Source organism: Homo sapiens, chromosome 7 (genome assembly GCF_000001405.40).
Source record: "Homo sapiens chromosome 7, GRCh38.p14 Primary Assembly".
NCBI classification, from domain to species: Eukaryota; Metazoa; Chordata; class Mammalia; order Primates; family Hominidae; genus Homo; species Homo sapiens.
Window position 1 is genome coordinate 64,276,977 of NC_000007.14, and position 16,473 is coordinate 64,293,449.

The 16,473-nt window shown below is 42.6% G+C and overlaps 1 long non-coding RNA gene across 4 annotated transcripts; it reads right to left on the reverse strand.

Annotated features, from left to right (window-relative positions):
- Positions 1–10,444: 10,444 nt before the first annotated feature.
- LOC105375323 (uncharacterized) lies at positions 10,445–15,286 on the reverse strand. Of its 4 annotated transcripts, none has more exons than XR_927595.2 (4): positions 15,041–15,286; positions 12,460–12,580; positions 11,392–11,567; positions 10,445–10,570 (listed from the first exon to the last, which is right to left on the reverse strand). It is a non-coding gene; the product is annotated as an uncharacterized LOC105375323 (long non-coding RNA). The 4 variants fall into 4 exon arrangements; XR_927597.2 differs by having other exon boundaries at positions 11,754–12,580; XR_001745021.1 differs by lacking the exon at positions 15,041–15,286 and adding an exon at positions 13,145–13,214 and having other exon boundaries at positions 11,754–12,580.
- Positions 15,287–16,473: the final 1,187 nt, after the last annotated feature.

The window sequence follows — 16,473 nt, forward strand, 5'->3', positions numbered from 1 at the left end:
TTGATATATGTATAAAATATGAACTAAGTCAATTAACATATCTATCACCTCACTTACCTAGCATTTTTTGTGGTGAGACATTAAAACTTACTGTTAGTTATTTTGAGATATACAATACATTATCATTGACTATAATCACTCTACTGTGCAATAGATCTCAAAATCTCTTTGTCCTGTCTGTAAAACTTTGCATTCTTTTATCAACAACTGCCTCTGGTAACCAATTATTCCACATTCTACTTTGTAAATAACAAATACAACTTTATTAGATTCTACATACAAGTGAAATCATGCAGTATTTTTCTTGTGTGTCTGGGTTATTGTACTCAGCAAATATTCTCTAAATTTATCCTTATTTTTTCAATTGACAATATTTCCCTCTTTTCAAGGCTACATAGTATTCCATTGTGTATACTATTATTCTAAACGTATATACCACCTTTAAAATAAAATTGTAATTCAAATATATATTCATCTATTGGTTGGAAAACTCATGTGTAATGGAAAAATATTTGTGTGAAAGCATGTATCAACATAATTCAGCATATAAATATCTCATTAATAATAGCTAATTTGTACTGAGCACTAACAATAACACTATACATGTGTTAATAAATTTTGTTGTCACATTGATGTGGTCTGGCTGTGTCCACACCCAAATGTAATTTTGAATTTTAGTTCCCATAATTCCTATGTGTCATGGGAGACACCTGGTGGGAGGTAATTGAATCCTGTGGTCAGTTTCCCTCATTCTGTTCTCATGATAGTGAGTGAGTTTGCATAAGATCTGCTGGTTTTTATAAGGGACTTTTCTCCCTTTTGCTCAGCACGTTTTCTCTTCTTATCACCATACGAAACAGGATGTGTTTGCTTCCCCTTTCATTATGATTGTAAGTCTCCTGAGGCCTCCCCAGCCATGCTGAACTGTGAGTCAAATTAACCTCTTTCCTTTATAATTTACCTAGTCTTGGGTGTGTCCTTATAGCAGTGTGAGAATGGACTAATAGACACAGTAACCTAATAACAAAGGTATTATGAGCCTCAATTTATAAAGAAAGAAACAGAGCCAGAGAGAGAAATAACTTGCTCACAATAGCAGAGCCAGTATTAAAACACAAGCAACTTTGACTCCAGGGATAATACTCTTGAATACAACAATAAAAACCCTTTCAAACAGAAAAGAAGTTACCTTTAACATCCATTCTTAAAAATTTGACAAAAATTAAAAAGGATACATTTGTATTGTTATATATGTATGTATGTGAATATATAATATAAATGAAAAATACTTCATATAAGCCAGAAAAAGATAATTATTTTAATGAATAAAATTGGAAAGCAGTGAAATTATTATTCGCAGATGATATCTTTGTTTACTTAGAAACACAACAAAAGCAACTGAAAGGCTATTTTAGGTATCTATTCAGGAGGGTAGGCAAAATTCTCAGATGACCCTCAGGTTCCCACTTCAGTGCACACCTGCTGTGTATCCTTTTCTCCTGAGTGTGAGAAAATGTGTGTGACTGTGGTGGGACATTTTTCACGTAATTAGGTTACTAATGTATTGGCTTCCTGTTTATCATAAGAGAAATTATCTTGATTAGACTAAATTTAATCGGAGGTGTTTTTAAAAGAAAAAGCACCTCATGGAAAAACACCCCTGCTTCCCTGAAATTAATCAAACTTCTAGGTAAGCCATGTTGTAAGCTGCTTATGGTGGCCACATGGCCAGGGATATATTTGTATACTGCCTCCATTTCTGCCTTCAACATGTTGCTTTCTGTAGGGATAATTGGAGGATCTCATGGCAGAGAAAAGAGAAGAGATCTCACTTATGCAAGAAATAATCACCCTTCATCTGGGACAGCTTAATAAAAACAGAGGCCAGAACATGACCACATCGATGGGAAACAAAGGCAACTTGGTTGAAAGGGCTCACTGGCATTAGGAAGCAATGTCTACGCAGCTGAAGTAAATGATCAGCCTCTGGGATACCAGTAGTCTACCAACAAGGCTGAATTCATTCTCATTCTGATTAAATTAGCATTTCTGTTCCATTCTGTTAACTCAGTTTTACATAATTCATGACAAAAATACCAGGCAGACCAGTAAGTACTCTCCTAGAATTGAACTTATCGTGAAAAAGCATACCCAATTATTTAATTTCAACACTGGAAAATGTTGAAAAAATAATGAACTTATCAATAATAATTTGACATTGAAATTTCAGAGAATTCTACTCTTCTGTAATAGAATATCGAACTTTGAACATCTTAACATATTTCTTGAATGCACAAATTGTGATGTAGATCATTTCTCTTTTAGATTAACACAATAAGACTAACAATTAGAGAGAACATTTGAAATAAAATAACAGTCATCAGAACCACATCTTTCAATGCCTTGGCATAATTGCCATGCTCTTTGAAATGGTCAAGAAGCAAAGACAAGATTTTGGCTTTGCCCAATTATTAAGTACTTGACCTTTTAAAATCTAATATCCTGGCTAAAAAATTAGGAGGGAATATTTTTTAGGTGGCTGCCTACAGTGTCAAAGGCAATATGAGAAGAATTTTGATAGTTAGGCAGGAAAATGCATATTACATACCCACACTACTCTTCTCTGATTTGCTTTAACATTGAAAGATTGGAAACTGCAAATCTAGTCCCTCAATTGAGGGTAAATTAACAAAGGTTCATGTCTCAGCTGAGCAAGTTATTGTATGAAACTTATAGGTAACAGATGTCATTAGCTGCAAAAAACAAAATAGTATGACTACATTCAGTAACAATCTAGCCATGCAAATGATAGACCAATTAGATTAGTATCCTAATAGTGCATGAAAAAAGAATTTATGTGCAATATTGTGACCCTCCCCCAAGCACTTTTTCTGTCTCCTTACAGAGATACCAGTTTTTCCTGAATGACTCAGGGTGAATACTGGGAACTGAGAATGCTCAGTGTTCAGAGTTGATACCGGGAACATAGTTAACCACATTTCTTCTATGTTATAAAGAAATTTTATGAATCTTACTCTGCCCCAGAAAGGCTTTTAGCAAAAGATTGTTCATGTATAACACTCTATTTGGATTCACGGAAATTTTAAATATTCCATTTAAGTCAGAGACACTGAAATGTCAACCAAATTTCATAAAACATATTTGAATGAGATCAAGCCTTTCTTAGCTAAGAATTTTATTTCATTAGTACATTTAGAGGAAAATAATAAATGTGTGTACTTTAGGCCAGATCACAGTGTTTGCCACATGGGAACGATTCAGACAAGTGCTCTTCATCATTACTCTTAAAGTAGCACTAGCAAAACGCCCATTTCCTGGCACCAGCTGGCCTGTTTTTCACTGATATGAAGTGCAGAAGGCATTGAAACAGTGAAGAAGGGTGATATAAATGGAATGAAGTACAATTGTTAATAAAAAGTAGCATGACCCATAGTTAACCCGGACCACACACAGACTACTCACCAGTTGTCAGGGAGTCAAACACGTGTATCTGTGGACCAAACCGATGACACTTCTCCACACCTACCAAAGGGAATTGGGTTCCCACATGCACTTAGGAAAAAAGAAAGACCACGTGGGCACCAGATATTGGGTGAAATTCACCCCCGATATTTCACGTGGGTCCTTTTCTACTTTCCCCTAAGTGTCGGCTGGTCTGAGAAATAAAGGGAAAGAGTACAAAGAGAGAAATTTTAAAGCTGGGTGTTGGGGGGAGACATCACATGTCGGCAGGTTCCATGATGCCCCCCAAGCCACAAAACCAGCAAGTTTTTATTAGTGATTTTCAAAAGGGGAGGAAGTGTACGAATAGGGTGTGGATCACAGAGATCACATGCTTCACAAGGTAATAAAATATCACAAGGCATATGGAGGCAGGGTGAGATCACAGGACCACAGGACCGGGCGAAATTAAAATTGCTGATGAAGTTTCAGGCACGCATTGTCATTGATAACATCTTATCAGGAGATAGGGTTTGAGAGCAGATAACCGGTCTGACCAAAATTTATTAGGCGGGAATTTCCTCGTCCTAATAAGCCTGGGAGTGCCACGGGAGACCAGGGCTTATTTCTTCCCTCCGCTATGACTGTAAAAGACAGCCATCTCCAAAGCGGCCATTTCACAGGCCTCCCCTTAGGGATGCATTCTCTTTCTCAGGGATGTTCCTTGCTGAGAAAAAGAATTCAGTAATATTTCTCCTATTTGCTTTTGAAAGAAGAGAAATATGGCTCTGTTCCGCCCAGCCCACAGGCAGCCAGAGTTTAAGGTTATCTCCCTTGTTCCCTAAACATTGCTGCTATCCTGTTCTTTTTTCAAGGTGCCCAGATTTCATATTGTTTAGACAATTTGTGCAGTTAACGCAATTATCACAGGGTCCTGAGGCAACATTCATCCTCAGCTTATGAAGATGATGGGATTAAGAGATTAAAGTAAAGACAGGCATAGGAAATCACAAGAGTATTGATTGGGGAAGTGATAAGTGTCCATTAAATCTTCACAATTTATGTTCAGAGATTGCAGTAAAGACAGGCATAAGAAATTATAAAAGTATTAATTTGGGGAACTAATAAATGCCCATGAAATCTTCACAATTTATGTTCTTCTGCCATGGCTTCAGCTGGTCCATCCATTTGGGGTCCCTGACTTCCCGCAACACTGAACCTTGGTGTGAGAGTCACCATCCTACCTGTGGACTGCATTCACGTATGAGAGTCACAATTCCAACTTTTGACTGCCTCTGAGTGTGAGATTCAGGACGTTGTAAGGAGGCTGTGTTCAGGTGGGAGGATGAGAATCCTTATTGTCAGCCAGGTGTGCATATGAGAGTCAGAATCTGACCTGTTTGCTGGTTTCTGTTATGACACTCTCTGTACCACCTGAGGGTTTTATATGGCACATGTGAGACTCACAATCTGCTTTGAGACCTTTGTGCTTGCCCAGGTGTTTCTTACAATACCAAATGTAGGATCTCACCCATTGCCCTAAGCCCAGGCATGAGAGTAAACATCTCTCTTATTTTTGGGTCCAGGTAGGAGAGTCATTTTTGTTCCTGTTATCTGGTTACAGAAATTGGTCAACATCCCTCCTGTGGCTCAATCCACATGTGACAGACATGATCCAACTGTGGACTGTGTCTGTCAGTGAGATTCAGGAACTCACTATTTTGCTGTCTCCTATGTAAAGGTGACAATTTTAACAGTCAGCTGAGTGTGCATACAATAGTCACAACCTCAGTGTGGTACTGGGTCCTATGATGACACTCTCTGTACCATCTGAGGGCTTTACAGAATATGCATGTGTGTGGTAATCACCTGTGATATTTTTTAAAGTAGAAAACCCAGAACTTTATTTTTTGGCCTAATCCCAGCTATGAGAGAGAGCCAACACCTCTCTTATTGGTGGGGTCCAGGTATAAGAGTCATCACTGGACCTGTAAGCTGGGTCCAGATATGATCCACCATCTGACTTTTGGCCAGATCCACATGGGATGTGACCAATATTCTAACTGTGTATTGTGTCCTCATATGAGAGTCAGGACCTCACCAGTAACTTTTGTCAATGTGTGAGGGAGACAATTTTAATTGTCTGCTGGGTGTGCCTATAAGAGTCACAATTTTACTTCTGTGCTGGATGCTGATATGACACTCTTTATATCACCCAAAGGCTTTATAGAATACGCATGAGTGTGATATATTGTGTGATCTTTCTACATGTAGAAGACCCAGATCATTGCCTGTTTTTCTAAGCCTAGCTAGAAGAGTTAAAATTTCTTCTATTGGCTGGGTTCACATATGTGAGTCTTCATTACACCTGTGAGCTGGGCCAAATGTGTGACCATCCCACCTGTGGGCAAAGACTAGGCTGGAGAGTGGCATCAACTAGGTGGTGGCCCAGCGATATGTCAATATTTTTACTAAGGGCAGGGTCCTGACAATAAAACTTACATCTCCTGGGTGCTAGGAAAAGCAATATGGCACAATCCACCCTGTAAACATGTTCCAGGTAGAAGACGGTCACACCATCTAGGTGATGGGCCCAGTGATATGTAACCATTTCTCATGTAAACAGATTCAAGGCAAAGAAGAGTCACATAACATAGGTGATGGGCCAAAGGATATCTCATGGTAACCCCTGTGGACTGGCCCAGGCAGAAAGGGAGAGTCACATCGCCTAGGTGATTGGCCCAGAGATATCTCACAATACCCCGGGAGGGCAGAGCCCAAGCAGGAAAGTCACATTATCTAGGCCCTCAACCTAAGTATAATTTACAATCTAAACCGCAGGTGCAGCCTAGGCAAAGAGAAAAATCAGTCAGATACTGAGTGAAGGTATATGTCACAATCACACCTGTGAAAGTGTCCAGAGATACAATTTACAATCTCTCACATGCCCAACTTCAGGATCAGAGTCAACACCTCCTGTGAGTTGCACCCAAAAGGCAAGTAACAACCTCAACAGTGGACTGGATCCGTGTTTGAGAGCCACAACTCCACCTGCAGACAGTGTTCCACTAAAAAAGTCAAAATATCACAGGGGTGCTGAATCTTGGTCCAAGAGGTGTATGGAATCCATATATGATGGTAACAATGCCAACTTTGACTGCCTCTAAGTGTGAGATTCAGAACCTTAACAGTGCACTGTGTTCATTTGGAAAGTGACCATAGTGTTGGCTGGTTGTGCATATGAGAGTAACAATTTCATCTGTGTTTTGTGCCCTTTTATAATGCTCTCTGTAGTACCTGAGGGCATTATAAGGTATGCACAAGAGTCACAATACTCTCTGAGATTTGCATGCTTGTGTGGACACATGATCTTACTGATTACTTTAAGCCCCGAGGGGAGAGTCAACATCTGTTCTATTTGCTGTGCCCAGGAATGAGATTTATCACTGTGCCTGTGAGAGGGGTCCAGAAATGAGTCACTATCCCACCTTTGTGCAGATCCATATATGACCGTCACAATATCAGCTTTGAACCGCACCCACAAGAGATTTAGGACCTCAGCAGTGATCACTGTCTGTGTGTGAGGGTGACAATCTTAATTTTTGACTAGATGTGTATATGAGATTAACAATCTTAACTCTGTGCTGGGCCCTGTTTAGACCTACTCTGCCTGTACCACCTGAGGGAATTATACCAGTTATACCATATGTTAGGGTTTCATAGTCCTCTGTGACCTCTGTACAGGTAGGAAAAGCAGGACCTTACCCATGGTCCTAAGTCTAGCTATGAGTCAATATCTGTCCGATTGGCTTGGTCTAAGCATGAGAGTCAACACCATGCTTGTAAGCTGGATCTAGAAATGACTCACCATGCAGCCTGAGGCCAGATCCACATATGACAGTCACAATTCCAACTCTGGACTGCATCCATGTGTGAGAATCAGAATCTCACCAGAGCGCTTTGTCCACGTGTGAAGGTGACAATTGCGATTGTTGGCTACATGTGTCTACAAGAGTCACAATCGCCCCTGTGTGCTAAGCCCTGTTTATCACTCTCTATACACCCCAAGGGCTTTATAAAATACATGTGAGTGTCATAATCTTTTGTGACCTTTTTATAATTACTAGACCAAGGCTTTTAGTTGTTGCCCTAAGCCTAGCTATTAAAGTCCAAATTTCTCCTATTGGCTGGGTCCATGTAAGAAAGACACCATCATGACTGTTGCCTGGGCCTAGATATAGGTCATAATCCCACCTGTGGGCAGAATCAGGGAGGAAAGTCACATCACCTGAATGCTGGACCAGGGAAATGTCAATATCCTTCCATGGGCAGGACCCATGCAGGAAAGTTGTATCACCTTTATTGCTAGGCTTAGTAATATGTCACAATGCCCACTTAGGAAGAACCCAGTCAAGAGCCATATCACCTTGGTGCTTAGCTTAGCAATATATCACAATCCTTTGTGTAGGCAAGGCCCATGCAGGAAAGGGGAGTCACAACACCTAGGTGCTGGGCCCAGTACTGTGTCACACTCCACCCTGTTAACAGGGCCCAGTCATGAGAGGAGAGTCATACCACCTAGATAACATGCCCAGATTATATGTCACAAATCTTACTGGAGAAAGGGATAGTCAGGAAAGTAGAGTCTCATCACCTAGGGGATGGTCTCAGAGATACCTTACAATGCCTCTTGTGGGCAGGGCCCAGGCAGGACAGTCACATCACCTAGGTGTTTGGGCCAGGTATGTCACAATCCCAACTGTTGCCTGAGCTCAGGCAAGACGGTAAAGTCAATCAGGTGCTGGGAAAAAATTATATGTCAGAGTCACACCTGCAGTAAGGTCCAGGGATGAGATTCCCAGTCCCACATATTTCCTGGCTCAAGGTATAAGAGAAAACACCTTTTGTGAATTGTATTTAAGTACACAAGTTACAATCTCAATTGTGGACAGAATTCATGCATAACAGCTCCAGCCTCACCTGCAAACACTATCTCATTAGGGCAGTCACAGCCTCACAGGTGTGCTGAGTTTTGGTATAAAATCATCATTCTACCTGTGAACTGCATCCATGTAACAGATTCAACTTACAATGGATGTGGGAGTGATACTCAGAACCTCAACAATGGGCTGTGTCCATATGGAATGATGACATTCCTCACTGTATGTTGTGTGTGCACAGAAGAATCACAATGTCACCTGTGTGATGGGCCTTTGTATTATACCCTCTGTTCTACTCAAGAGCTTTTTATTTTTTATTTTTTTAATGCATGAGAATGAAAACCTGCTCTGAGACCTTCATACTGGTATAAACTCATGATCCTACATATTGCCCCAAGTTCAGGTATGAGAGTCAACGTTTCTCTTATTTGTTGGGTCCAGATATAAGAGTCATCAGTATGCCAGTAAGCTGGGTCTAGAAATTTGTCACCATCCCACTTGTGGATGGGTCCATATATGACAGTCACAATTCCAACTGTGAACTGTTTTTGTGAGTGACATCCAGGACCTCATGAGCAGATTCACATTTAATAGTTACAATCCAAACTGTGGCCTGTGTACACATGAGTCACAGTCTCAATTTTGACAGGAGCCCTGTTTTGACACTTTTTGTACCACCTGAGGGCATACAATATGCATGAGTGTTGTAATTCTCTGAGACCTCTGTAAAAGTGGGAAATCCAGTACCTTATCCATTGCTCTAAGCCTAGATACAAAAGTCAACATCTCTTCTATTAACTGGGAGCAGGTATGAGAGTCATTGAGATGCCTATGAGCTGGGTCCAGAAACGAGTCACCTTCTGACCTATGGCCAGATCCACATATGACAGTCCCAAATTCAACTGTGGACTGTTTGCACATGTGAGATTCAGGACCTCACCAGTGGGCTTTGTCCATGTGTGACAATCCGAATTGTTGGATAGTGTGCCTCATATGAGAAGCACAATTTTACCTCTGTAATTAGCTCTGATATGACTCAAGTATTTTATAGAATATTTATGAGTGTCATAATCCTCTGTAATTGTGATACATTTAGGAGACCCAGAACCTTACTGATTGTTCTAAGCTCAGCCATGAGAGTCAGAATCTCTTCTATTGGCTGGGCTCTCATATGACAGTCATTATTATTCCTGTGATCCGTACCTAGGTATATGCCAGAATCCCACCTGTGGGCAGAACCAGGCAGGAGAGTCACATCATCTGAATACTGAGCCAGGGGTATATTAGTATCCCCCCCTGTGAGTTGAGTGCTGGTAGGAAATTCACATCACTATGGTGCTGGGACCAGTGATGTGTCAAAATGACCCCTGTGGGCAGAACCCTGGCTGAAGGTTTACATCACAGAAGTGCTGGTCTCAGCAATATGTCACAATCCCCTTGTGAACAGGGTCCAGGCAGGAGATGATAATCACTCCTCTGGAAATGAGACCAGAGGTATATCGCAATGCCACCTGCAAGAAGGGATTAGGCAGGAGGGTCACTGTACAGAGGCTATTGGCTTAGGCATATGTCACAATTCAAACTGTGGGCTTTATTCAGGCAGTATAGTCTAATCAGTCAAGTTCTGGCTGGGAAAAGTTATTATGTCACAATCACACCTGTGAGAAGGTCTAGGAATGGAATTTACATTCCTGAACATGTTCTGGGTCCAGGTATAAAAGTACACACCTCATGAACTTTTACAAACCTCATGTGTCCAAGAATGCAAATCACAATTTCTTTGCTTTTTTATTATTTATTTATTTTAATATTTTATTTTTTTTGGAGACAGAGTTGCACTCATGTTGCCCAGGGTGGAGTGCAGTGGCATGATCTCGGCTCACTGCAACCACTGCCTCCTGGGTTCAAGTGATTCTCCTGCCTCAGGCTCCTGAGCAGCTGGGATTACAGGTGTGTGCCACCACACCCAGATAATTTTTGCATTTTTAGTAGAGACGAGGTTTTGCCATGTTGGCCAGGCTGGTCTTGAACTTCTGACCTCAGGTGATCCACCTGCCTTGGCCTCCCAAAGTGCTGGGATTACAAGCATGAGCCACCATGCCCAGCTGCACATCACAATTTCAACAGCAACTTGAATCCACGCATGACAGCCAAACCTCAGACAGCACCTATTAGGAGAGTTAGAGCCTAACATAGGTGCTGAATCTTGGTCAGAGACTCATCGTCTCCCCTGAAGGCTGGATCCACATATAAGAGTAAAAATACCAACTTCTGACTGCCTTTGGGTGTGAGATTCAGAACCTCAACAGTGGGCTGTGTCTATGTGGGAGTGTGACATTCTTTACTGTTGGCAGTGTATGCATATGAGAGTCAAAATCTCAGCTGTGTACTGGACCTTGTTATACTACTCTTTGCGTCAAGTGTGGCTGTATATATGTGTAAGACTTGCAATGCACTCTGAAACATTTGTGCCTATATGAACCCATGATCTTACTCATTTCTCCAAGTCTAGGGATGAGATTCAACATCTCTTCTATTGACTGGTTTAGATATGAGACTCATTGCTATGCCTGTGGGCTAGGTCCAGCAATAAGTCACCACTTAACCTGTGGCCAGATCCACATATGACAGTCAAAATTCCAACTGTAAACTGTGTCTATTAGTGACATTCAGGACCTTAACTGTGGGCCCTGTCCATGTGTGAGATTGACAATTTTAACTGTTGGCTATGTGCTGGGCTCTGGAATGACATGTTCTGTACCACCAAAGGGCATTATAGAATATGCATAAGCTTCCTCATACTTTGTGATCTTACCAGAAGCTGGAGACTGAAGACATTATACATTGTCATAAATCCAGCTAGAAGAGTCAAAATCTTTTCTATTGGTTGCACCCATGTATGATAGTCATCATCATGCCTATGAACTGGACCCAGATATATGTCACAATACCACCTGCAAGCAGGGACTAGGAAGGAAAGCCACATCACCTGAATACTGAGCCTGAGTAGGTCAATGCCCCTTCTGTTGGAAGAGTCCTGGCAGGAAGGTGACATCATCTGGCTGCTGAGCCCACTCACATGTCACAATGCCCTCTGTGGGCAGGACCAAGGCAGGAGAGTCAAATGATCTGGGTGCTGGGTCCAGCAGTATGTCACAAATTACCCTGTGGACAGAGCCCAGGAAAAAGAGGAGACTCTCATGACTTAGGTGATGAGCACAGAGATATATCATGATGTTCTGTGAGAAAAGGGCTCAGAAAGAACAGTTGCATTACCCAGATGTTTGGCCCAGGTGTATGTCACAATCCCAGCTATATATAGGCACTGCTAAGACAGAAAAGCCATATCACCTGGATGCTTGGCCCACTGATTTGTCACAATCCCTTCTGTAGGCAAGATCCAGGCAAAACAGACAGTAACATCTGCTAGGTGCTGGGCCCAGTAATTTGTCTCAATTCCCCATGTAAGAAGGTCCAAGGCAAAAGAGGAGATTCATATCACCTAGGTGATAGGCCCACGGATATGTCCAAATTCCAAATGGGGGTGGGGCCCAGGCAGAAGAGGAGAGTCATGTCACCTAGGTGATGAACCCAGTAATACGTCATAATGCCCCTGTGGGCTGAGCCCAGGCAGGAGAGGAGAGTCACATTAGCTAGGTGATGGCTGCATAAGATATTTCTAAGTCACCTCTGAGAGACTGGCCCAGGCAGGAGAGTCCCATCACCTATGTGCTTGGCCTAGGTATATGTCACAATCCCACATTTAGTCTGAACCCATGCAGAAATGTAAAATCAGTTAGGTGCTGGGCAAAGGTATGAATCAAAATCACACCTGCAGAAAGGTCCAGGGATGAGATTAACAATATTGCATATGGCCTGGCTCCAAATATAAGAATTAGCAGCTCTTGTGAATTCTGTCCAAGTACCTGAGTCACAACCTCAACCGTGGACTAGATCTGTGTATGAGACCCCCAACCTCATCTGCAAATAGTATCCTGATAGGGGAGACACAGCCTCACAAGGGTGTTTGATCTTGATTCAGAAGTCATCATCTTACCTGTGATCTGGATCCATGTATAAGAATCACACATCCAACTTTCAATTGCCTCCAGCTGTGAGATTCAGAACCTCAACAATGGGCTGTGTCCATATGGAAGGGTAATAATCCTTACCATCAGCTGAGTGTGAAAACAAGAGTCACAATTTCATCTGTGTGCTGGGCCCTGTTATGAAATTCTCTATACCTCCTGAGAGCATTGTATAATATGTTTGCGTGTTGTAAGGCTCTTTGACTTTTGTACAAGTAAGAAACCCAGGACATTACCTGCTGCCCTAAGCCTAGTTACTGAAGTAAACATCTCTTCTATTGACTGGGTCTTGGTATTAGAGTCCTTACCATGCCTATGAGCTGGGACCAGAAATGAGTCACCATCCCACCTGTGGCCAGATTTACATGTAACAGTCACAATTCCAACTGTGGACTTAATCAACATGTGAGATTCAGGAGCTTACTAGTAGGCTCTGTCCACATATGAGAGTGACAATCCTAATCTTCTGCTGGGTGTGCCTATGAAAGTCACAATTTCACCTGTGTTCTAGTTTGTATTATGATGCTGTCTGTACCAGCCAAGGACTTCATAATATATGTGTGTGTGTAGGAACCTTCTGTAACCTTTCTACAAGTAGGCGATTCAGGACCTTATCATTTGCCCTAAACCTATCTATGAGAGTCAAAATCTCACCATTTGGCTGGTTCTACATCTGAGAGACATTATAATTTCTGTGTGCTGGGCCTAGGTAGCAGTCACAATTCTACCTGTGTGTGAAAAGAAGGCAAGAAAGTCATATCACTTGGGTGATGGGCCATTGGTATGTCACAATTCTTTCTGTTGACAGTCCATAAAAAGGAGTTACATCACCTGGGTGCTAGGCTCAGTGATAGGGCACAATGCCCTGTGTAGGCAGGCTACAGGCGGGAGAGTCACATTACCTGGGTGCTTGGCCCAGTGGCATTTTTTTTTTTTTTTTTTGAGACGGAGTTTGGCTCTGTCACCCAGGCTGGAGTGCAGTGACTCGATCTCGGCTCACTGCAAGCTCCACCTCCAGGATTCACACCATTCTCCTGCCTCAGCCTCCTGAGTAGCTGGGACCACAGGCGCCTGTCACCATGCCTGGCTAATTTTTTGCATTTTTAGTAGAGACAGGGTTTCACCATGTTAGCCAGGATGGTCTCAATCTCCCGACCTTGTGATCTGCCCACCTTGGTCTCCCAAAGTGCTGGGATTACAGGCATAAGCCACTGTGCCCCGCCCTGGCCCAATGGCATTATAATCCCTTATGTAGAAAGGGCACAGGTAGCAAAAAAGAGTCACATTACCTAGTTGCTTGGCTCAGCTATATGTCACAATTGTTTTAGTTAGCAGGGCACAGCCTATAGAGAGCCACATCACAAACTGGTGAGCTCAGTGACATGTCAAAATGCTTAATGGAGGCAGAACATAAGCAAGAAAGTAGAGTCAAATCACTTAAGTGATGGGCCCAGAGACATGTCACAATGTCCCCTATGGGCTGAGCCCAGGTCAGAGACTCACATCACCTAGGGGCCTGGTTCAGGTATATTTCATAATCTCAACTCCAATTGTTGGCTAGGCTTCCACAGGACAGAAAAATCAATCAGCTGCTGGGCAAAAGTATATGTTACACCTGCAGGAAGGCCTGTGAATAAGATTCATAATCCCACACATTTTCAGGGTTCAGGTATAAGAGTCAACACCTTCTGTGAGTTTTGTCCAAGTATGTGAGACAGAATCTCAATGGTGGACAGGATCCCTGAATGAGAGCCTCAACTCCATCTGTGAACAGTATCTCAGTAGGGTAGCCATATGCTCACAGTTGTGCTGAATCTTAGTTTGAGAGTCACCCTCCTAACTGTGGACCAGATCCACATAGAAGAGTCACAATGTCACCTTTCATCTTCCTTCAGATGTAAAATTCAGTGGGCTGTGTTTATGTGAGAGGGTGTAAGTTCTTACTGTTGGCTGGGTATACACACAAGGGTAACAATCTCACCTGTGTGCTAGGCCCTGTTATTACATTCTTTGTACCACAGAAAGCTTAATAGGGTATGTGTGAGAGTTTCGGCCTGCTCTGAAATTTTAGTGGTGGTATAATCCCATGATACTACCCATGGCCTTAATTAAGCCCAGGCACAAGAGTCGATACTTCTCTTATTGGCTGGATTCAAGCATGAAAGTTATCACCTTGCCTGTAAGCTGGGTTCAGAAATGAGTCACCATCTTATTTGTGGCTGGATCTACATATAATAGGTACAATTCCAACTGTAAACTGTGCCTACAAGTGAGATTCAGGATCTCACCATTGGTCTCTGTCCATGTGTGAGGGTGACAATCCTGTCAGCTGGGTGTGCATAGGAGAGGAATAATCTTATCTCTGTGTTGGGTCCAGTTATGACACTCTGTGTACAGCCTGAGGGCTTTATATGATATCTTTTAGTGTCATAGTCTTCTGTGTACTTTGTACAAGTAGGAGACTCTGGGCATACCCATTGTTCTAAGCTTATCTACAAGAGGCAAAATCTCTCTATTGTCTTAGTCCAGATATGAGCGTTATTACCTTACCTGTGTTTTGGGCCCAGATATATGTCACAATTTGAACTCTGGGCAGGAACCAGGAAGAAAAATCCCATCACCTAGGTGCTGAGTACAGCAATATGTTAAAATCCTCCTTACTACAGGGCTCGCCCTGGCAGGAGAGTCACATCGCCTAAGTGCTTGGCCCAGGTGTATGTAACAATCCCATCTGATGCGTGCTGGGCCCACACATGAGAGTCACATTACTCAGATGTTAGACAAAGGTATATGTCACAATCACACCTTCGGTAAAATCCAAACATGAGATTCACAATCCAGCACGTGTCTCAGCTCCAGGTATGAGAGTCAACATCTCCTGTGAGTTGGGTTCAAATACATGAGTCACAATCTTAACACTGAACTTTATTTGTGCATGAGAACCCCAATCACACCTGCACACTATGTCTTGGTAGAAAAACCACAGCCTATTAGGTGTGTTTAATCCTGGTATCAGAGTCACCATCCAACCTGTGGACTGCATTCATATACAAGGATCACGGTTCCAATTTTTGACTGTCTCCGGTTGTGAGATTCAGAACCTCCACAGTGTGCTGTGTTCACGTGGTAGACTGACAATCCTTCTGTCAGCTGGGTGTACATATGAGGGTCACAATCACAGCTGTGTGCTGGGCTCTGTTACAACACTCTCTGTACCACTGGAGAGCTTTATATGATATGCATGAAAGTTGCAATCAGCTCTGAGAACTTCATTCTGCTATGGACCCATAATCTTACCTGATTTTCTATTTTGAGGTACAAGAGTCAACATATTTTTTTGTTGGCTAGGTCCAGAGATGAGAGTCATCACCATGCCTGTGAGCTGAGTCCAAACATAGGTAACAATCCCACCTGTGAGCACTGACCAGGTAGGAGGGTCATATCACCTGGGAGCTGGGTCAGGAATATGTACCCATTGTTCTAAGCCTAGCTACGAGAGCCAAAATCTCTATTGTCTTGGCCCAGGTAGGAGAGTTATTACCTTAACCTGTGTTTTGGGCCCAGATATACATCACAATTTGAACTCTGGGCAGGAACCACGAAGAAAAATCACATTATCTAGGTGTCCCCTGTGGGAGAGGTCCCGGTAGGAGAGTAACAACTTCTTGGTGCTAAGCCAAGTGAAATGATTCAGTGCCCCCTGTGGGCAGGGTCCATACAGGAGGGTAGAGTCACATCGCCTAGATGCTGAGTTCAGCAACATGTAAAAATATCCCCTTAGGGCAGGGCTCATGCAGGAGTGTCACATCTTCCAGGTGTTTGGTCCAGGCATATGTCACAATCCCTCCTGAAGGCCACACTTGGGCACAAAAGGAGAATTACACCACCAAAGGGATGGGCCCAGAGATGTCACAGTGCCTCTGTGGGCAGGGCCCAGGTCACATCACATGGATACAGGGCCCAGGGATATTTACAATCCCCAC